The 21,415-nt window shown below is 54.3% G+C and overlaps 1 protein-coding gene and 2 long non-coding RNA genes across 7 annotated transcripts in view, besides 4 other annotated features; 2 read left to right on the forward strand and 1 right to left on the reverse strand.

Moving 5' to 3' along the window:
• The first annotated feature begins 2,182 nt into the window (after nucleotides 1-2,182).
• On the forward strand, nucleotides 2,183-4,749 carry LINC01537 (long intergenic non-protein coding RNA 1537). The gene is made up of 2 exons (NR_126364.1): nucleotides 2,183-2,434; nucleotides 2,555-4,749. It is a non-coding gene; the product is annotated as a long intergenic non-protein coding RNA 1537 (long non-coding RNA).
• A 2,918-nt stretch (nucleotides 4,750-7,667) lies between these two features.
• The window catches only part of PDE2A (phosphodiesterase 2A), a 98,282-nt gene continuing 84,534 nt past the window's right edge, over nucleotides 7,668-21,415 (reverse strand). For all 5 annotated transcript variants that reach the window (NM_002599.5, NM_001146209.3, NM_001143839.4 and 2 more), the window contains 21 exons: nucleotides 21,278-21,319; nucleotides 20,702-20,767; nucleotides 20,311-20,441; nucleotides 17,597-17,708; nucleotides 17,081-17,120; nucleotides 16,898-16,961; nucleotides 16,399-16,471; nucleotides 16,078-16,255; nucleotides 15,728-15,840; nucleotides 14,965-15,042; nucleotides 13,971-14,093; nucleotides 13,404-13,474; nucleotides 12,884-13,006; nucleotides 12,413-12,500; nucleotides 12,104-12,151; nucleotides 11,061-11,135; nucleotides 10,811-10,910; nucleotides 10,424-10,536; nucleotides 10,003-10,041; nucleotides 9,760-9,866; nucleotides 7,668-9,121 (listed from right to left, as the gene is read on the reverse strand). In NM_002599.5, the coding sequence (NP_002590.1) occupies nucleotides 8,911-9,121; nucleotides 9,760-9,866; nucleotides 10,003-10,041; nucleotides 10,424-10,536; nucleotides 10,811-10,910; nucleotides 11,061-11,135; nucleotides 12,104-12,151; nucleotides 12,413-12,500; nucleotides 12,884-13,006; nucleotides 13,404-13,474; nucleotides 13,971-14,093; nucleotides 14,965-15,042; nucleotides 15,728-15,840; nucleotides 16,078-16,255; nucleotides 16,399-16,471; nucleotides 16,898-16,961; nucleotides 17,081-17,120; nucleotides 17,597-17,708; nucleotides 20,311-20,441; nucleotides 20,702-20,767; nucleotides 21,278-21,319 (1,995 nt within the window). In that variant the 3' untranslated portion in view covers nucleotides 7,668-8,910. The remainder of the gene's footprint in view (nucleotides 9,122-9,759; nucleotides 9,867-10,002; nucleotides 10,042-10,423; nucleotides 10,537-10,810; nucleotides 10,911-11,060; nucleotides 11,136-12,103; nucleotides 12,152-12,412; nucleotides 12,501-12,883; nucleotides 13,007-13,403; nucleotides 13,475-13,970; nucleotides 14,094-14,964; nucleotides 15,043-15,727; nucleotides 15,841-16,077; nucleotides 16,256-16,398; nucleotides 16,472-16,897; nucleotides 16,962-17,080; nucleotides 17,121-17,596; nucleotides 17,709-20,310; nucleotides 20,442-20,701; nucleotides 20,768-21,277; nucleotides 21,320-21,415) is intronic.
• Nucleotides 15,816-16,339: an enhancer, noted in NCBI's record as "H3K4me1 hESC enhancer chr11:72295333-72295856 (GRCh37/hg19 assembly coordinates)". NCBI's record gives its function as "activates a minimal SCP1, AML or CMV promoter by ChIP-STARR-seq in naive and primed H9 embryonic stem cells {active_cell/tissue: H9 hESC(naive and primed)}" and the evidence as "EXISTENCE:reporter gene assay evidence [ECO:0000049][PMID:30033119]".
• Nucleotides 15,964-16,073: a silencer, noted in NCBI's record as "silent region_3720". NCBI's record gives its function as "represses an Ori minimal core promoter by ATAC-STARR-seq in GM12878 lymphoblastoid cells {active_cell/tissue: GM12878}" and the evidence as "EXISTENCE:reporter gene assay evidence [ECO:0000049][PMID:35858748]".
• PDE2A-AS2 (PDE2A antisense RNA 2) lies at nucleotides 16,133-19,733 on the forward strand. Its single transcript, XR_001748291.2, has 2 exons — nucleotides 16,133-16,583; nucleotides 19,328-19,733. It is a non-coding gene; the product is annotated as a PDE2A antisense RNA 2 (long non-coding RNA).
• Nucleotides 16,340-16,861: an enhancer, noted in NCBI's record as "H3K4me1 hESC enhancer chr11:72295857-72296378 (GRCh37/hg19 assembly coordinates)". NCBI's record gives its function as "activates a minimal SCP1, AML or CMV promoter by ChIP-STARR-seq in naive H9 embryonic stem cells {active_cell/tissue: H9 hESC(naive)}" and the evidence as "EXISTENCE:reporter gene assay evidence [ECO:0000049][PMID:30033119]".
• Nucleotides 17,304-17,403: a silencer, noted in NCBI's record as "silent region_3721". NCBI's record gives its function as "represses an Ori minimal core promoter by ATAC-STARR-seq in GM12878 lymphoblastoid cells {active_cell/tissue: GM12878}" and the evidence as "EXISTENCE:reporter gene assay evidence [ECO:0000049][PMID:35858748]".

Below are 21,415 nucleotides of genomic sequence, written 5' to 3' on the forward strand. Positions count from 1 at the left end.
CTTTTTGAATGATTTCTTGTTCTTACTTCATGTTGCTAATATCTTCCCTTATCTCTTTAGGGAAATTTAAAGCATTTATTTTACATTCTGGACCCATCTGTTAAAGTCTGCCTGATTTGTCTGTGTTGTTTGGTTTTCTTTCTTTTCTCTCTCTCTTTTTTTTTTTTTTTTAGACAGTCTCACTCTGTCGCCTAGGCTGGAGTGCAGTGGCACCATCTCTGCTCACTGCAAGCTCCGCCTCCTGGGTTCACGCCATTCTCCCGCCTCAGCCTCCTGAGTAGCTGGGACTACAGGCGCCCGCCACCACACCCGGCTAATTTTTTTTTGTATTTTTAGTAGAGACGGGGTTTCACCGTGTTAGCCAGGGTGGTCTCGATCTCCTGACCTCGTGATCCGCCCACCTCGGCCTCCCAAAGTGCTGGGATTACAGGAGTGAGCCACAGTGCCTGACCTGTTTTCTTTCTTTTAGTTGTATTCTTTTGACCTGTGGACCAATGTTTCCCTCAGGGCAGCATGACTCGGATTGGTAATATGTGCTGGGGATGAGCTGAAGGCAGCATCCTAATCTGTGCTGGGTCCTGACCAAGGCGAGGACAAGATGTGAGGCCCAGGCACCCCACAGCCACAGCTGGACACTCCCTTCTGCTGGAGCCTCCTCTGACTGGAATATCTAGAAAAGAAGCAGCCCTAGGCATCTCCCTGGATTGTGAGCCACCCATCCTAGGGACTGGGGAGAGAAAGTGCTAGGATGATGCCCACGGGGACCTGGCTGGCCCCTCCTCACTGAATCAACTCACATCAGGAGTTTGTGCACAGGTGAAATGGGAGGCAGTGACTGTCCAAGCACTCCTCTCCAACCCAGTTCTCACTTTTATCTCTCCCTGCTCCCAGCGCACCCCAGGCTGCCGTGGAAAAATTAAGTGAGAAACTGAGAATGATAGTGAGAGAAATCTGTCACAGCTGACTGCATCTTCCTTCTAACCTCACAAGCACATCGTCTGCTCATTCCTGGGCACAGGCCAAGCCAACTATGGGAGGAATTTAGTTTATAGTTTAATTTTAAAACAAAAATGAGGCTGGGTGCGGTGGCTGACACCTGTAATCCCAGCACTTTGGGAGGCCGAGGCAGGCAGATCATGAGGTCAGGAGATTGAGACCACCCTGGCTAACACGGTGAAACCCCATCTCTGCTAAAAATACAAAAAATTAGCTGGGCATGGTGACGGGCACCTGTAGTCCCAGCTACTCAGGAGGCTGAGGCAGGAGAATGGCATGAACCCGGGAGACAGAGCTTGCAGTGAGCCGAGATCGTGCCACTGCACTCCAGCCTGGGCGACAGAGCAAGACTCCGTCTCAAACAACAACAACAACAACAACAAATGATGATAGCCTCTTCCTGAAACTAACCCCCTTTTTGCAAGGGGACCAAAACTGCCTTTATAAAACTTTATAAAACTAACAAATTGTCCATAAGTTTAGAATTATGGCTTAGAAGTTATGAAGCCAAAGGTCACAAGATTTGTAACCTCCCCAATTGCTCCTATAGATAACACCACTATTGTAAAACCTAAGACCGGTATTTGAGATATTTTTCAGACCTTGCATTCTGAGGAACCAGATGTTACCACCCAGACCAGTAACCTAAGTCAGGAAACTGACTCAACCAGTCCTGTGACCCCCACCCAGGAACTGACTCAGTGCAAGAAGACAGCTTCAACTCCCTGTGATTTATTCTTCAACATTCCCCATTTCCTAGTCCCCTGCCCACCAAACTATACTTAATAAACCCTACCCTCCAAATTCTCAGGACGGCAGATTTGAGAAACATCTCCTGTCCTTGGCTGGCCCTGTGATTATTAAACTCTTTCTTTGCTGCAGCACCTGCTGTTCTCAGTGCATTAGTCTTTCTGGGCAGCAGGCAAGAAGAACTTGTTGGGCTATAACACTGTTGTCTTTTCCTAGAATCCTATGCATCCCAATCAGTTCTGTAGTTCTCCCAGGGGTGATTTAGGGATTGAGAGTGGCAGCCATCTTGGCAGGATGTTGCCACACCTCCCATTCTCACATCTGACCCACCAGTCCCCAAACTTGATGTTGTGCTTTGTTTCCTGTATGGACTGATCTTGGTATTCCCTCAGAGAAAAATCTGGCTGTGCCGTCTATCAGACTTCATTCCCACACAGCTGCCCAGACACAGGGCAGCCTTCCTCTCAGAACATCTTCTGTATCCTGAAAGCCTCCAGTGGGTTCATCCTTCAAGTTAATGGACAGGAAAACTAAGACCAGTGAGGAATCCCAACACTCATCCTGCCAGGATAGAAAGGAAAGCCCAGAGGCATTGCAAAGAGTGCTGAAGAGCAGGGATTCGCTGTATGGGGACAACTCTTGCTTTGTGTTTCAGGACAGGGAACCCAGGAGTGCAAACCTCAGTCAGGTAAGAGGCCTGCCCTGACATCCTTGATCCTCCCACACCACCCATGCTGCCTCCTCCCCTGATTTCCCATGCCCCTTCCTTCATTCCTGCCCCAACCCTGATTCTCCCTTCTCTCCCCAGGTGCAGTCCAGAGCCTGTCTTGAGCATAATGGCTGCTCTGCTCTGCCCCCGACCCTCACCACCTCCAGCGGGGTTCATCATCCCAGTTTATGGACAGAAAAACTAAGACTAGAGGGGGAGGGCTTAGCTCCTGCTCGGAGGAGACCTTCAACTCCTTCACCTGCCTGGACTTGGCACCCTCCCAAGAGACTGCAACCAAGGTTATGAAAATAGCATCTACTCACCATCCTTCCTCAGCACACCCCCAACCAATCCACCCCTCAGTCCCACCCCTGTCTCAAGGAGACTGAGCCCCGAGAAGCACAGCCTCCTGCACCTCCTCACCTCCCAGCCTGCCTTCCTGGTCTATCTGCAATGTCCTCAAGTCCTTTCCCGTCCTCCTCATCCAAACTCCAAGACCTGCCTCACCTCACCCTCCTCCAGGAAGCCCCCTTCATGGTCTGGGTTCACTCCCTGTCATGACGTCCGCCCTCACCAGCACAGCACCAAGCCTTGCAATGCTCTCTAGTAGTTATTTCCTGCACAGAGAAGGGGTGAGGGAAGCATCATTTCTGCCTATCCCTGTTCACACGCAAGGCTGGCTCTGCCTTCCCAGGGACCGTTCTGCAGAGGGAGACCGCTCATCAGGCAGGTACCACCTCCAGGGATCTCACTAAGGTAGAACTGATGGGCCTCAGTTCTGTTCAGAGAACAGCTATACAGGCTGGAGGCCTCCAAGAAACAGTTTCCATTTTCCCTGAGGAGTCTGTATGGATGTGTACTGTACAGGGTATAGGCTGTATGGAGTCTGCAGGTAAACATGCCTGTGTGTCAAAGAATGAGTCTGTATGGGTGTGTACTGTACAGGGTATATGCTGTATGGAGTCTGCAGGTAAACATGCCTGTGTGTCAAAGAATGAGCATGTGTGTGTGTGCATGTGTCAGCATGAGAATGCCTCTGTGTTTGTGAGTGTGAGAGGGTCATATAGGTGCAGCATTCTGTTGATGGAGAGTCAAACTCTGTAAAAAAAAATTTTTTTTTTCTTTAGATGGAGTCTCACTCTGTCACCCAGGCTGGAGTGCAGTGGCGCGATCTCGGCTCACTGCAACCTCCGCCTCCCGGGTTCAAGCAATCCTCCCTGCCTCAGCCTCCCAAGTAGCTGGGATTATAGGCACCTGCCACCACGGTCGACTAATTTTTGTATTTTTTAGTAGAGACTGGGTTTTCGTCATGTTGGTCAGGCTGGTCTTGAACTCCTGACCTCATGTGATCCACCCACCTCCGCCTCCCAAAGTGTTGGGATTACAAGCGTGAGCCACTGCACCCAGCCTGTAAAATATTTTAAGAGATTTATTCTGAGCCAAATATGAGTGACCGTGGCCTGTGACACAGCCCTCAGGAGGTCCTGAGAACATGTGCCCAAGGTGGTCGGGATACATCTTGGTTTTATGTATTTTAGGAAGGTATGAGACATCAATCAAATACATATAAGAAATACATTGATTTGGTTCAGAAAGGCAGAACAACTCAAAGCGGGGGGCTTCCAGGCTATAGGTAAATTTAAACATTTTCTGGTTGACAATTGTTTGAGTTTGTCTAAAGACCTGGGATCCATAGAAAGGAATGTTCAGTTTAAAGATAAAGGATTATAGAGACCAAGTTTTATTGTGCAGAGGAAGCTCTCAGATAGCAGACTTCAGACAGAGCAAGTTGTAAATTGTCTCTTATCGGACTTAAAAGGGTGCCTGGCTCTTACTTAGTTGATTATCTCCTGGATCTGGAAAGAAAGGAAGGAAAACAAAGGCGGAAGGGGAATCTCTATAGAATGTGGATTTTTCCCACAAGAGACTTTGCAGGGCAATTTCAAGGTATGGCACGGAAATATATTTTGGGGTTAAATATTTTTTTCCTTGTCTCATAATGTTATGCCAGAGTCAGATTGAAAAGTAAATCACAACATATAGGGTCAAATAAAACCCATCTGATGAGAATGTATGGTTTGTAGGGCATGACTTCCTAGACCTCTTAGGTAGGAATCTGGGTAAGACAGAATATCAGACTTAGTCCTCAATTCCTAATGCAAAGTTCTGAGATCCAAAATGCTCCAAAATCTAAAACATTTTTTAGCACCGACATAATGCCACAAGTGGAAAATTCCACACTTGCTTCAATGTGCACAAACTTTGTTTCATGCATAAAATTATTCAAAATATTATATAAAACTGCTTCAGGCTGTGTGTATATAAAACATAAATGGATTTCCTGTTTAGCCTGGGGTCTCATTCCCAAGATATCTCATTATGTATATGCAAATATTCCAAAATCCGAAAAAAATCTTAAATCTGAGACACTTCTGGCCCCAAGCATTTTGGATAAGGGATACTCAACCTGTAGGTGAATGGACAGGAGTGAGACTACCAACCACCGTCCCCCCCGTCCCCGCCGCGTCCCCCTCACCCCACCCCACCCCCTCCCATATCCTTCTCTGACCTCTGGGGAGGTGAGGACAGCGAGGGCTGGACACCACCTGGTGGCCCTGAGCTGCACTACAAGCCACCACCACCCCACTCTTTTCTCCCTGCCCCCTACTCCAACTCACACACACACAGACACACACATGCACACACACAGTTGATCCCAGCTCTCAGCTCTTTCTCTGGGGCTTCAACCCACTTTGTGCTCACCATCCCAATGCCCTACAATAGTCTTGCAAAGACTGAAGATGGAGACCCCGTCCTTCTGAGTCTCCTTTCCCTATCCCAGAGGAGGAGAAAGGAATCAGACAGCTCTCGGAGGGGAATCAGACAGGTAGGGCTCAAATCCTAACCTTGGTGCATTACTTAACCTCTCCAAACCTTAGACAACTTGGCTGCAGAATAGACTAATGGTATCTGCTAGAATCATTGTGAAATTTAAATAAAATGCAAAATGAAACCATTAAGTTGGGAGAGCAGGACAGCTACAGGAAGCCAATGGGGTCAAGCCTTGTGTTCTGTAACCTGGTGAGGGCTGTCCTCAGGCTCTGTGCAGAGCCTCCTCCCATCTGTCCTCTCTCCCTTCCTCCCACCTCTCCTCCCTGGGCATCCTCAGATAGCTGTTTTGCTCACCTTTGCAGGGAGCTCACCCCTGCCAGAGGCTCCACCCAATACCTGTTGTGGGTGAGGGTGATGCTGAACAGAGCCCCCACAGCTCTTCATGGAGTGGCATAGACCCCACCTCCCAGGGCCCCTCCAAGTCCTCCCTCTGCATCCCCCGACCCACTGGTCACCATGTTCTGCCAACCTAGCATCTCCTGAATTCCTCTCCTCGCCCAGCCCAGGGCACAGCACATCACCCATAGAATAATCCCTGCCCACCCTCTCCCCTTGCAGTCACTTCCCTGCTCTCCAGGGGGATCTTTCTAAAATGCACTTCTGAGTCACTCTCCTACTGAAAACCTTTCTCTGGTTCTCCACTGCCCACAGAATAAAGCCAAACTCCACAACCTGGCATTTAAGGCCCTTCAGGATCTGGCCTTGCCTCCTCCTCCATCTCTCGGCTCCTCCACCTGCCAGTCCCTTCTGTTCTCGAGGCCTTTGCAAAAGCAGTTTCTTCTACCAGGAGTGCCTGTCCCCTTTTGCCTATAAACAACATCTGCTCATCTTTCAAACCTCATTGTTGTTCTCAGGGTTATGATCCTGCCTGGAGCCCCATGGCCGGGCACCCCACAGCGTTGTCATGGCCTGCATCTGAGTTTAGATCTAGCTCTCCAATCAAACTGTGAGACTTTCCAGAGCAGGACAAAGACAAAGCCCTCAGCCCTAGCACAGGGTCCTGCGTGCACAAGGAAATATCTGTGGTTGTTCCCTCCATTTGGTGAAAAACAGGGATGTGTCACAGCATGAGCCTCAAAGGAGGGCTGGGCTGGGGACAGACAGATGCAGGGTCAAGGTTCTCTTTGCCTGAAGAGTTGTGGAAGAGGAACACGCACACACACTCAGGGTCAGGGGTCAGGCAGAAGAGCAGCTACATCAGCCCACAGTGACCCTGGGGTCAGCCAGGCACCATTAGAATAGCCATCTCTTATTGGCCGTGGGCCACAAACTGACCACTCCCACCCCCACCTGGGGACCCACTGGCCAAGCCTGGGTCCTGTGCTGTGAGAGGATAGAGACGGACTTGGGGAGCCCACAGCAGGAGCTGGGAATGGGAGGAGCCTGGAGCCCCATGACGCTAAGGGAAGCTGGAAACCTGGAGACCATTCAGCCAGAGGAGCAGATTCCAAACCCAGACAGGCTAGTGGGGCAGGGGGAGCTGCAGAGGAAGCAGATGGGCTCTGTGGTCCCAAAGGCAAAGCTGGCAATGGCTGATGGTCACAGGATGGCCCTGTCCATCTCCTTCCTGCTCCCACCAAGAAAGGAGACCCCAGTGCCCACCCTCTTAACACATCAACCTTTACTGACCAGGAAGAGATGAACACGGAGAGGAGCTCAGAGGGGGGTAGGCAAGTCGGGGACAGGGTCTGGAGACTGTGCCAGGCAGAGCCTCCGCGTAGCCCCAACCTGCAGTCTGCCCATCTTGGACTGGGCGGAAGTAAACACTCTCATGCAGAGGAACAGACACAACTCCTCAGACACAACCCGGGGCTGGATCTGGTGTGGAGTCTGACTCAGGGGTGCACCTTCGGCAGGACTCAGAGTAACTGGGATGTGGGACTTCCTGGGACACAGCCAGGCATCACTGCAGCTAGAAACAGAGTTCAGAGGCCTAGGCCCTCGCCGTATGGGCACTCATGACCAGGGCAGGCCAGCGCTGGGAGGGTCTAGGACAAGCTCCAGGCTACCTCCTCCAGGCAGCCTGCCTGCTTGCCTCAACCTTTGTTTTTCCTCTATTCTACAATCTCTGCCAGCCAACATGTCCCATCACTGCTCCATGGCCAGGCCTTCTCATCTGCCACCCACCCCTTAGCCTCCACGATCTGGCCTAGGGAGTACCCCAACAGGTCTATGACTTCCCCAGAAGGGGGGCTAGGCACCAAGGGTGGAGGACCCTGGAAGCCATGGAGTTCCAAAGGGCGTTTGCCTCTCCCAGTTCTATTCCCCCCCTCCACCCACCCCAAGCACAAAGTCTGCAAACAGCCCCATGGGGGAGGACTGGTAGAAAGAAATAGATTTATTCTCATGTACAAAGCGGTCAGCCCACGGGACCATATACGACAGTTGCACAGAGTCCTAGAAAAACGCATCTCTCTAAAGGCAACTCAGAAAGGTAAGGCAGGTGGACCCCCTCCCCCACCCCACAACGCACACAGAATGAAACAGAGAAAAAGAGAGAAGCCAGTGGCCGGGCTGACCCAAGAGTCCCGGCCCTATGGGGTCTCCCAAGCCCCAGGGCACAGGTGGATATGGCCTTGAAGAGAGAGCCCTGCCAGGGCTGAGGCCAGGTCTCTCACTGGCTGCAGGAATGGGTAAGGGGCTCAGGCCAAGGGGAACACTCAGGGGGCCTCTGAGACACTCAGGGTTGGGCTCTCTGTGCCTTAGGGTTGCAGAAACATTCCATAGCCTCTGCTGGGACTCCGCAGAGCGATAGAGCTATTTTAGACATTGATCTAAAATGGATCTTAGAGCATGGATTGTCTTACCCGCTCCCTGTTTGGCCCAGACAGGGGAAGAGACTCGCCCAGCGTCACACAGGCAGGAGGAAGCATGGCTGGCTCATTCATACCTGGGCCTGTCTCCCAGTGCGGGGATCCCTCCTGCCCATCAATCCCATCCTGCTTCTCCCCAGGGCCCCTCTCTGCAGAGCACTGAGCTGCCCCTCTGGCAGCTTCTTCCTGGGGCCCCTGTATCCCCCAGGTCCCAATCCCACCATCAGTATAGTAGTGGTCCTCAGGGGGCCTTCGCCCCGCGGCTGTTTCTAGTCCTCCCACAGAACTAAGGACTGTTTCCAAGATGCCACACTCTGCTCACTCAGATGTCTCACCTTCCCCTTCCATGAGGATCCTGGAGACCCCAAAGGGTGGGAGTCCTCAAAGGGAAAGGAGCAAAGATCTGGTGGGGCAGAAATGGGGCAAGGAGAAACCATCAAGCTGCTCAGACAAAGAATGGCTTGGGAAAGACTTGCCAAGGTGTGGTCAGAGGTGCAGAGTAGGGCCCACTGCTCATTGGTCACCCCTGTGCTCTCAGAAAACAAATTACAAAGTCTCCGTGAGGTTGGAAGTCTTGCTTCCATTATACAGACGAGAAAGCTGAGGCCCAGGAAGGTAGTACTTGTCCAGGGTCACACAGGAAGTCCTGGTCTAGGACCCAGGACCCGTGGCTCTGTTCCCAGTGCATCTGGCCAGACCAGTGGAGGGCTGTGGGAGGTGGCCTGGGCAGGGAAGTGTCCCTGGAGGGGATCACTCAGCATCAAGGCTGCAGCAGCCATTGATGGGGGCCCTAGTGCCATCCAGATCAGGCACCTCGTACTCCTCATCCAGGAAGTCCAGCGAGTTGTTACTTGGGAGGCCGCGGATGGTGAACTTGTGGGACACCTTGGTCCAGTGCTCACGGTTGGAGGCCACGCGCTCGTACAGCTCTGCCGCTTTGGGGAACAGGTCCTGCAACAGCCTGCGGGTGCATGGGGGGCAGAGGGCGAGAGGCCAGAAATCAGACCATGGGCAGCAAGAAAGACTAGGGCTACACAACAAATAGAACTTCCACAAGGGCCAGGTACGGTAGCTCACGCCTGTAATCCCAACACTCAGAGATGCCGAGGTGTGTGGATCACCTGAAGTCAGGAGTTCAAGACCAGCCTGACCAAAATGGTGAAGCCCCATCTCTACTAAAAATACAAAATTAGCTGGGCGTGGTGGTGCATGCCTGTAATCCCAGCTACTTGGGAGGCTGAGGCAGGAGAATCGCTTGAACCCAGGAGGGGGAGGTTGCAGTGAGCCAAGATCGTGCCATTGCACTCCAGCCTGGGCAACAGAGTGAGACTCCATCTCAAAAAAAACAAGAACTTCCACAAGAATGTGAGACAGAGGAGGACACCTAGGAAAGCATGATGGTCTCTTTCCACTGAGGACCAAGGATGAAGTGAAGGACCCACTGAGGGGCACAGCGGGAGACAGTTATGCCCAGAGGCAAGGGGATGAATCAGTTGGACCTGGGCCAGGCCAATCTCAGCACCTGTGTTTCCTGTGATGTCCCCACTCCAGCCTACCCTCTCTGTGCAGGGTGCAGCTTGTCCCCATGAGCTCACTCACTTGTAGATGGGCATTGCAATGTGCTCCATGAAGCTGATTTGCAGCTCAGGGATATAGGCCTTCTCCCGGTCCATCATCTCCATCGGCCTGTTGCCCATGGCCTTCTCCTGCAGGCATCGAGTCGTCAGGCCTGTCCCTCTCATTCCTCCATCGGGTACCAGGGTCAGGCTAGTTCAAGCCCTCCCTGTCCCAGGCCAGGAACCCTCCCCCATCCTGGACATCCTGGGGTCACTCCACACATACCAGGTCTCCCTGGGAGAAGAATTCTTTGTAGATCAGCTCCTGAAAGGCCAACACTCTCATCACATCCTCTATGTAGGATACATCCACCCAAGCTCCTCTGACAGCCCGTTCCCAGGAGAGAAAACTGAGGCCCAGGGATTCAGTCCCAGCTCAGGAGCCGTCCCCACCAGCCCCAGCTTGGCAGTGGGATGGCCTGAGGCAGGGAGTGGCTGGGTTGGGGCCCACCTTCCACCAGCCACTGACTTGCTAGGTCTGTTCCCCTCTCTGAGTCTCCATTTGTCACCCTGAGATGGTCTAGGTTTCTGTCTCCCCAGAACACAGCCAGGCTGAGCTGAGCAGAGAGAGGGTATTCAGGCACAGGGGGCACCCAAAGCTGGGCAGGGTGGGCAGCCTGTGCCTTCCCAGGGAGGACTACACCTACCGCGATCTTTCTCGTAGTCTTCCAGCCCTTGGTCTGGTCAGAGAGGTCACAGGAGGTCATGAGGAGGCAGAGGAGAAGTCTGTGGTGCTGCTTGTTGTTTCGGTCGTAGCCCACTGTTGAGGGGAGGATGGGGTCAAGGAGCGGGGCCCAGCCTCTTTGCCCTTCTGAGGACAAGGCTCCCAGGGCCCAACCCAGAGCGGTCCAGGGAATTGGGCACCCTTGATGGGAGCCAAGGGGCCAGTGCTGGGTCTGCCTGGGGGGGGCCGTGCAGCCAGAGAAGGGTTGATGTTGCAGGGGATGGGTCTGCACCCTGGGAATGCTCCCCTGGCAAATCCTTCCCCTGGTTGTTCCTCCCCAGCCCCAAGGACTGGGGCTAACAGCAGTCACCCTCAGCCATCTTCTGGAGGTCCTTGAAGATGCGGAGATGGTGGGCCAGGTCTGTGGCCAAGATGATGTCCCGCATCAGATCCAGCATGCGCTGATAGTCCTGAGGCGAGGGCAGGGGTGTCATGCCCTCCTACTGGACACCCCCACCCATTTGCCCATCCCAGTGAGCCTCCACTCCTTGGCTCCTTATCCCACCTCCAGCCAGCTCCCAGCTCCCCCTCAATCCCCACCCCACCCCCAACCCCATCACCTTCCGGGAGAAATGATCAAAGATGTTGCAGCCGTGGGTGTTGAGGATGGCGATGGCCTGAGCAAAGTGGTGCCTCTGGGGGGAGAGGAGTGATGGGGGCCCAGCTGGGGCAGATGGGCTCCCTTACCATTGACCCCAAGAGAGGAAGCAGGGGCCTCGTCCAGCTCCAGCCCCCAGGTCAGCAGAGCAGTCAGAAAGGGGGAGTCAGGGGCCCCAGTTCCCTTTCTGAGCTCTGTTTCAACCCTCTGTGTGACCCAGGGTGAGTCCCTAGACCACTCTGAGCCTCAGACTCCTCAGCTGTCACATGCAGGGACCCAACAAGGTAAGCTCTGGGGTCCCTGAAAGCTGGAACATTTTTGAAATGATCCTTTGGAGTCCTAGACACCAAATCATGCAGAACACATTTGTTTGCTGACAAGGAGAGGCAGTGATGAGGCAAGGGCAAGGCCCCCATTTCCGGATGCTGAAGGGCTGTCACTCAGAAAAGGAGCAGCTTATCTCAGGGGGGCAGAGGGCAGAACCAGCACTGCCACCAGGCCTCCTGGGAGAGAGACAGAGAACCTCGTCTCTGGGGGTGTGCAAGCAGGGGCAGCCTCTGGAGGGGTGTTGTGGGAAGTAGCATGAGGCAAGGTGACCTTGGAAATGTGTCTCCTACTCTGTGCCAAGCCCTGTGCCAAGTGCAGGGAACTCAGAAATGGCTCAGACCTTGTGCACGAGGAGGTAGGCAGACCCAAACCAAACAATCTAAGGTGACGCTAAGTGATGGGAGTGGAGCCCATCCCAAGTTTGGCAGGAGGGGGCTGAATGGGGTGTTCCCAGGCAGCCAAAGGGAAACACGCTGAACACAAATCCTTGCTATCATCCGCACCTGCACCCTTCCAAGCCCACTCCAGGAAAATGAGCCAGACATGTCCTAGGTGTGGCTGCAGCTCTCGCAGCCTGTCTGGAGAGCATGGTTTGGGAATAGGAGGAGCTGGGTCATAACTTTGCAAGTCACTGGCCTTAAAGGGGAAGAAGGACGGGGTGGGACAGAAGAGTGATACCTCCATGACGGAGCCCTCAGAGCTGTAGAGCGCAGCCAGCACAGATTTCTGGAAAAGCCCAGGAAAACTGTGGTCACTCCTCACATCCGGATCCAAGTGCCACTGCTTTAGGCTGAGCAGTGTCCTGCCCTTCCACCTTTCTCCCCTCCTCCCTATCTCAGAGCCAGGGGCAAACCCTGGGGGAACCTCCTCCTGTGTCTAAACCTGGCTCCTGGTCTCACTCGCTCCCACCCATCTTCAGGCTGGGAGAGGATGAGACTCCCAGACACCCCATGGAGGGTCCCCACTGTGAGCAGGGCAGGGTCTTACCGAGGCCACCTGGAAAGAGTTGTTTGTGCCTCTGTGGTCCAGGTCATGACACATGCAGGAAATAAACAAGGCAAAGATCTCGATGTCCCTGGTTGAGAGGCAGAAAGGAGAAAAAAAAGAGGTCAGCCCACAGTTCCCTCCCTAAATCCCCAAGAGGACAGACAGGAGATGACATGCCCAGGAGCCACTGGGACAGGAGGTTGGAACACCTGGGTTCCCTTCCTGGAAAGAAGCACTGGTTTGGAGCCCAGCAGACCCGGGTTTAAATCAGGCTCAGTCTTCACTAGCTGCTTGGCTGTGAGCAAGCCCCTCCTGGAAGATGGGGCTCACAGCCTTCCCCTCTAGTCCCCTGGGGCTAAGAAGATCCCATGAGGCAGTGCGTGTAAAGTGCCTGACACACAGGGGGTGCTTCCCTGTCCCAGGGAGGGGACCCCAGTGGCTGCCAGATGTGGGGGAGATGCAGCCACTCACTCGAGGTAGTTGGTGAGCTCCAGGTTCTTGTAGAGCAGGTAGCAGAAGTGGGAGACAGAAAAGGCGTGCATCCAGTTGTGGTAGGGGGGATCCCGGTAGCCCTTCTTCACCATCAAACAGAACCTGGGGGAGGGAAGAGGGCAGAAGAGGGGCCTCAGCCTCTCCTCCTCCATCACGGCCCCATGATGGCAAACTACATGTCCCCTCCATCCCTGAGGGACCCTCCACAGCCTTCCTTGATGACTCTGTCTTAGCAGGAAGTTCCTATGCACATCTAACTTAAACCTCTGGCTACACACTCTCGGCCTTGCCTCCAGGCTTTGCCTTGCCTCATTTCTTGCCTTTATTGACAGTTCAGTGTCTAGGAATTGCTTCTCATTCATGGATCCTCCCCACCCCCATAAGACTGGGTCTCCCCAGTCATCCTTAGAGAGATCCTCTCCAGAATGCCGGGGGCAACGGATGTGACAGTAGAGGAAAGAGGGAGGCGAAGACTGGGGCTGTCTGTGGGCGCACGAACCGGGCCAGGGTCGGGCAGTCAATTTTGTAGTTGTTGATGAAATTCATGTCCTGCAGCATGCTCAGGATGGCCTGGAGAGGGCAGAGGGAGGTATCAGAGGGGCTGCCAGTATCAAGACGGGGCCCTTGCCTGGGTCCTTCTTCAAGCTCCACACTCAAAATCTGGAGTCTTAGAAACTTACATCTAAACTAGAGAACCACAAAATAGTTGAAGCAACCGTTCTCGGAGCTATGCATTTTTAGAGATCTAAGAACTAAGAACTCTTGAAACCAAGCCCACACAAAATGTTAGAAAAACAGGGTTGGGAGGGATGCAAACCCTGAGGTCACATGCCCTGGGCATGGTTGGTCCAAGAGCAGCCCTTGGGATCATCCAGTCCAGCCTCTAGCCCCTGGGCAGGCCCTATGGCTTCCTGATGGCAGACTACAAGCCCCTCCATCTCTGAGGGACCCTCCACAGCCTTCCTTGATGACTCTGTCTTCCCAGGAAGTTCTTGATGCGCATTTAACTTAAGCCTCTGGCTACATACCTTCGGCCTGGCCAGTCAAGTGGAGGAGAGCAACTCACCATGGACGTGTCATCCTCGGGCAGGGAACGAGGGGTATAGGTGAAACTTGCAAAATTGGAGTCAATGGCAGCCACAGGCTGGATCCCATCATGGAGAAGTTTGGTATACTCATCATCGGAGACCTAGAGGAGACCAGCCAGAGCATTAGAAGACAGCCTTCACCCCATCTGGTGTCTTCACCCTCAAATTCCCATGGCAGGTGGGGGATCCGTCACCCAGAATGTACCACAGTTGGGCCACCACGCTGTGGACTGTAACTGGGCAGGAAATCACCACCCTCCCCTCACAGCCCTGCAGCCCACCCCGCGCGCCTCCCTGCAGGTGACCACCCTTTATCTGTAACAGCATAACCTTGGCAAAGATCGACAACACCCCTTCATGACACCCCCTAACCATGGCAGCATTTCATACACAGTAACTGTAGCAGTCCTCCTTTTGTGGAGACCTTTCTACTCTCTAACCTTAACTCTTCCTACTACAGTTTTGATCCAACTCACAAGGTCTGGGCCTCTCTGGTTTGGACACAGGTGAGAGGAAATGTCCAAATGAACAGCGACTACCATATACATGGAACTAAGCCAGCTTTTGTGACCCAGGGTAGGGAATGGGATAGATTATCAGCAATTAAGACTGCCCAGGGCTGCATGGGCATTGTACCTAGGGAAGCCATGGGGACGGGTCCTGGGTGAGCTTCCTAGCCCTCAGTAATTCCCAAGATGGGAATTATTCCCTGAACATGGGGAATACCTGGCTGAACCAATTACTCCCTGGGCTGGTTCCTCTGGCTACTTCCAGCCTTGGGACTGAGCTCAGAAGCAGCTTGGAGGAGAGGTCTCTAAGCAGGGGTGGGAGCTGCCCCTAAGGAGGGCAGGAGGCCTGCTGTGGCTCTGGGCCTATCCTCTCATCCTCAGTAGAGATTGATCAGGAAGCCCTGCCTGGCCCTGGGTCCCCGGGGAATCTGGGAGGAGGACCAGAGGTCTCTGCAAGCCTCACCTTCATGTGGTACATCATCATCTCATTGGCCAGGTGGCTGCGATACTGAGCCTCATTCACTTTTTTGTATAGGAGAGACTAGGGGAAAGAGGGAAAGATGGGGCTCAAGGAAGGTGGCTGTGAAAATTTAGCAATGCCCAGGACTGGGATGAAGGGGTCAAAAAGACACCCCACTTCCTGTCCCATTCTGGCCCCAGTCAAAACCTTCAAGCTCCAGTCCACAGTAAAGACCCCACCCCCACTTTCATCCAGACCCCGCGCCGGTTCCTCCTCATCAAGTTCTCCCAGCATTTGGTCTGGCCCTTTGCACTCCCCCACACCTGATCCAGGCTTCAGTGATGGAGCCCAAGGCCCATGGCAGGGAAGGAGAAGCAAGGAGGGGATCATGTCAGGGACCTTGGGGCTGGATTCCCAGGCCAGAGCGCCAGTAGGCCTGGACACCGAGACCCAGCACTTCCAAAAAAGCACTCGGCTTGGGTTGAGACTGCTTCCAGGGAAGAGAGGAGGTTTTGACAACGGGAGTTTCTCATGGTCCCAGGAGGCTGAGTGGACAGGGCAGGAAATCGTATGCCCAATTTTTAGATGGGAAACTGAGCCCAGAGGTGGCCAGCGTGTCCTGAAGGCTGCACCCCAGCGGCGGGACTCTGAGTGCCAGACCAAGGGATCAATCCACAAGGAGAGTCAGTCGGAGGAGGAGAACCGAGGGTCCTTCGTGGGCCCCGCCCCCTATCACCCCACACCCCACTCCCAACCCCGCCCTCACATGGGCGATGCTGATGCCGCAGTAGATGGAGAAGGCCGTCGCCAGGTCCTCGTCGAACTTGCTGAACCATGGCCCATTGATCTTGTTCACCAGCTCGGCCACACCGATGACCTCTGGGGAAGGGAGAGGGGCAAGGAACCACCGGTGGAGGGAGGGATCGGTTGGAGGGAGGGATCCGGCCGGGACCTGCCCTCGCAGTTTCCGCAGGTTACGTACGTCCCAGGCATGGAACCCGACTCCCTTATGCTCCGGGACGCTGGAGGCGGTGGGGAAGTGTTGCCACCCCCGCTCGCTCGGACCCGCCCCGCCCGGCGCAGGCCCCGCCCCTCCGCCCGGGCCGCCACGCGCACCCTGGTTCTCGTTCTTGATGGGGAAGCAGAGGATGTTGCGCGTGCGGAAGCCGGTGCTGTCGTCCACGCCGCGGTAGAAAAGCGGATGGGCATATGCGTCAGGGATGTTCAGGATCTGGCCCGTGGTCGCCACGTGTCCCGCGATGCCCTGATCGGCCGGGATGCGGATCTCATAGCTCTGCCGGAGCAGAGATGGAGTCGAGAGGAAGAAGTTAGTGACCCGGCCACAGAGGGGACTGTTAAACCTCGGGCCGCTCCCCAGCGCCGCCGGCGGACTCCCGGACACCCCTAGGGCCACATACTCCCTCCACACCCTCTCACCTCATCATCCACCACGCCCCCGTCGAACACCTTGGCCACCAGCTCATTCTGATCCAGCAGGAACACAGAGCAGCTGTGGAGGGAGGGGTTTGGTCCTCTGGGGCCTGACAACCCCCTCTGATCGCCCTCACGTCCCATAAGGAGGCAAAGGCCGGATTTCCGAGGCCTGGGAGGAGTGCTCCAAGGTAAGACACTCTGCTCAGGGCTGGCTGGCTCCAGAAACGTGTCCATTCAAGTGTTTTGTTTTTTTTTTTTTTTGGAAGCACCTACTATGTGCCAGGCACTGTGATAGGAGCTGAGGATCCAAAGCCAGCCCTGTCCCTGCTGTATTGGAGCCTACAGTCTAGCGAGGGAGACAGGCATGAAATAAAGGATCCCTCAAAAGGTGATGAAGTCCCGCAGAAGGCAGAGAAAGGGAAGTGGGTGGGGCAGGAAAGGAGATGATGGGGACTGAAGGCCACAGCCTCTCTCGCCCTGTCCCCTGGGTAGAGTCACTCACATCTCTGCGTTGCTGAGGTTTCTGGCCTCCGTGATGATCTCCTGGAGCAGGACAGAGACGTCATCTGGGGAAGGGAGAAGACCAGGCAGGGTGAGACCAGGCTGCCAAGACCTCCCGCCTCTCCTCTGCAAATGCCAGCCCCCATGCCCACACACAGCCAGGCAGAGAGAACAGTGCACTCACCCAGGTGGGTGAAGAGGTTCTTTGCCACTTGGAGAAGAGCCTGGAATGAAGGAAATGGAGATCATAGGGGGGTCGGGGTGTAGGGGTCACCCTATCCAACCTCCTGCCTCCAACAGCACCCGGGTCTTCTCCTTCCTTCCCTAGGGCTCACTGGACAAGCCAGAAACTGTCAGTGTCTAATTATATCATTTGGCTACTAAGTGAAGGAGTGAGGGAATAGCCCCGGTGCAGGTGAGGAGTCTCCTGAGTGTCTCAGCCGCCTTCACGCCAGCTCTAGCTGCCTAGGTGTTGCTGTAGTGCCCAAATTGAACACTAGAGGGCGATCACATACAGTGCCTGCGGGCAGTGGCGCGGGTCCTGAACAACTGCAAGCCTTCAAGTTATGAGGTTATGGAGCCACCTGGGGAAGGGCTGCCACCAGTCCAGAAAGACATGGGCATTTCCCTTCTGAATGGCTCTCGGGGCTGAAAACTGAGCGAGTCGGTGCCCGAGAGAGGCTGAAGGCAGGTCACTCACCTGGCACTCACACTTGAGTTTCTGTTCCTTCTGGAAGGCCAGGGTGCTGGTGAGCACGGTGCTGGTGTAGTGGAAGCAGTGCTGGATCACATGCTCGTCCTCGTCGGTGAACCTGGAGGAGGGGGTGGGCTCACTCAGGAGGGAAGGGAAGACTGGCTTCTCTCCCCACTCTCCTTACTTCTGTTCCATCAGAAGCCCACAGGGGTACCCACCTGCCAACTATATAACCACTGCACAGGCCCTTGGAACAGCTTCCCACCCCCATGACCCTGCAGACTGGGGGCTGCCCAAGGGGAGGGCTCCAGTCCTCCTTAGATGCTTGAAACCAGAGCCATACCTCCCGTCTCTGATTTGGGATTTACCCAGCCCAAAGCTGGGTCTCCTCCCTCAGACTAGAGATTGCCTGGGCTCAAGCTGGTGTTCTGCTCTTCCCCAGGCACACCTCCAGCCTTGGGGAGGGGCGGTGGCACTGCCCTATCTTGTGCAGCTCCTGTCACTACCCCACTCTCCCTGGACTCCGCTGGCCCTGATTCGGTGCCTCCAGAAATCTTAGGGTGGTGGTGTGGAGAGGACTGCTTGCCCTGCTCATGGAGCTAGCTCTGGTGAGACAAGATAAGCCCCAAATCCTGCTCACGTCATTCAATCTGGCCACCAAATGATTTGTCACTGGGGAGCTGCATGGGGCTGGGTGGACCAATGGTGTGGGTCATGGGAAGAGCCTGCCTTAGCCCACATCACGCTGCCCTGAGGTGTCCCTGCCTAAGCCCTTCCCCACTTTTTGGCTGGCCTTGGTGCTCCACCCTGGTGGGGCATCCCCCATTCATGCTTGCCATCCAGTGATTCGGATCTAGATCCCATCCCCACCATCCTGGGTCTGTCTGCACACCTTTCTTACATTTGTGGTCCCTCAGCTAGCCCCACCCACCTGTCACCCCTCAACCCAGAACATCTCTCAGCTTCAGCCACACAAAGATCCTCATCATTCTGAGAAAACCTTGGGCTCTTTCACACCTTCATGCTTTTTTTTCTACACTGTTCCCTCGGCCTAGAATACCCTTCTCACTCTCTTCCCTCTATGCCCTGAAAATGAGCTTCGAGTCTTATGAAATGGGGCCATGACTATATCACCCATGCCCAGTGCAGAGCCTGGTACAGAGGAAACACTTCGGAGGTCTTTGCTAATGTCGTCAGTGTATCCTATCCCTGGCCTTGCCACCAGCCCCATCCCACTCACAGCTGAAGGGCTTCTGGAGCCCCTGTTCTCTGGCTACTTAGCTGTGTTTCAGGAAGCTTCTCTGTAGTCACTGCACTGAGCTGAGCCCCACCCTGGCTCATGCAGTCATTCAACACTCACTCCCTGAAATGCGTGGGACACAGAGATAGCCCTGCCCCTGCCCTGGGCCTCAAAGCTGCCACCAAGGCCCCATCCTTATTTCCTGCTGATACCACCTCTTCTCCAGCTCTGGGGCCATCCTAGAACCCAATCTCACAGCCAGCAGCAAGAAGTCATGGCCCCTGCTGGACCCCCATTCACTCTACCTTCCCTTCCCCAAAGGCCTTCCCAAGGCCATCTGGTCAGCACTGGGATGGCAACATTAAGTGCTCAATATTTGTTTGCTGAATGGCATAAATTCTCCCACCATTAGGATGCCCACAAGTTCCAAATGCCACCAATCCCACATTCTCCCTGCCTCAGCTGATTCTGCCTTGCCCCTATCTTTGTTTCTCCAGGCCCACCCAACTGTCAACACAGTTCCATGCTGGTAGGTTCTGCAGCTCAGACCTAGGACTCCTGGATCTCCACCCTACCCCAGCAGACCTCAGGCCCGGGCTCTGACACCTACCTAGTCCCAGGCTCTCTAGTGTCCACCTCCTGCAGGAGCTCCAGGCCCTGAAACCCAGCCTGTTTGCTTGGACTCCAGAGACCAGCATCCTATCAGCATCTCTTTGCATCAGGACTCAGCCCCTCATCTGTCTACTTCTCCCCACCTATGTGACACAGCACAAACTGCTCATCCTGCCAGCCCAAGTGTGAACCTGCACCCAGGACAGAAATGGCTCATCAGACGCAGCACTGTTTCTCCCTGAACTAAGATCCATTTGCAATAAAATTCAGGCACCTACTGCCTGTTTATGAGTTGGTGTAGGATATGAAATTTATTTATGACACCATTTCTAGACCCCAGGTTTGTCCTCAGTTCTCGAGATATCCTTTCCAACTAAGCCTCCAAGCCTGCTTTCCTGTCCACTGTGCCCTGCCCACAAAAAAAGAGATTTTTGTGTATCATTTTTATAGCTGCCCTGTCAGGGGCTCAAAAGATCCACAGCTTTTCCCAGTCCCCAAGCATATTCCCTTTAGCCACTGTCCACTGTGTTGATGATGCTTTGTGGGTCCCAGAGGGTTCATCCAACCCAGAGCACACCCACCCCTCCATCTAGCAGTTTATAGCAGTAATGCAAAAACAGGGATGGCAAGGGAGGGAACCCAATACCCCAAGAGCAGATTACCCAAACTTCAGGAAGCAGGAGAAGAGAAGAGGAACTAGCTTGGACCTCAACATGACTTTCATTCTCTTGCACTAACACACTGTTCAACCCACTGCTGCTGAGACAGTAGCCCCTGCCCAGTACCCATCCCACATTGTTACCCTCGTGGAGCCCTAGCCAGCCTCTCAGTGACATCTCCTGATCTGCATCATCCCACAAAGACTCACAAGTCTCCTTCTAGCTTGTTGAAGGCGCAGGCCAAGGCCACCACCTGGTCAGTGGCCCGGCTGATGACAGGGACACAGAGCATGGCCTGCAGCTCACAGCCCAACATGCTCTGCAGCTGTTGTACATCCTCCTGCAAAGGCGAGGCAAGTCAGGGCAGGGAAGCAGGGCGCAGTATGCTTCCCTCCTCCAGCCCTCCATCACATTTTGCAACAGGCAGTTCTAAGGGACTCATGCAAGGCTGGAAGCTCTGTGTCATGGAGATGGGACAGTAGAAAGTCCCCAGGTCTTATCTGCCCCATTCCTAGGCTGCTCTGTAACAGAGACCCTGGCTCTAGGGGCTGGCAGTGGGGTCTCCTCTTTCCCCTCTGGGTCAGCCAGGCCATGACTTACGGAGGTGAGGTCCTTCAGCTGGATGGACTTCTTGTCTTCCACCACCTGGCCCAGGCATCCTGTCAACTAGGGGGTGAGGAGAGACTGAGTCAGGGCCCAGTACTCCCCAGGTCAGGGGATCTCAACCTGTCCCCACCCTCAAATCTGGAAGTTTCAAAGAACCCTTCAGTCAGTCCAAATGGTGGACAGGGTCAGCATTGATGAGCAGAGATGGAGGGGAGTCTGGCAGAATTCGCTATAAAGGACTCTAGAGTCTTCCCTAACTACGAGAGAGATAAGCAGACTCCAAGGATTCTCGTCAACAGATTCTAGCAGATCCATATCCAGAAATACTCCAACAGAAGTGAACAGGTCCCAGGTAAGCCTTTCTGTAGATGCTAAGAGATTCTTCCTAATAGAGCCTGCTGATCACAGGTTGTGATCCCTGCAGCATTTCTAAGTAGTCCCAAGATCCAGATAATTCCATCGGATTCCAAGAGTCTAGAAGATCCAAATACTCCAGGCAGATCCCAGGAGTGTCTACCCGGCCTCAACCGCCCCTGCAGACTCCAACGAGAAGACAGACGCGGGACTCACGGGAAAGCTGACCTCTTCCCCGAGCACTTTGTCTCCGATGACCTGAGGAACGGAGTGCAGGGGGCTGGTTAAAGGAAAGGCAATGGATTTCCCCCTCGGAGACCCGAGTTCCTCGCCCAGCCCCGCCCCCGCTCTACA

The sequence above is a fragment of the Homo sapiens genome, chromosome 11 (assembly GCF_000001405.40).
Source record: "Homo sapiens chromosome 11, GRCh38.p14 Primary Assembly".
NCBI classification, from domain to species: Eukaryota; Metazoa; Chordata; class Mammalia; order Primates; family Hominidae; genus Homo; species Homo sapiens.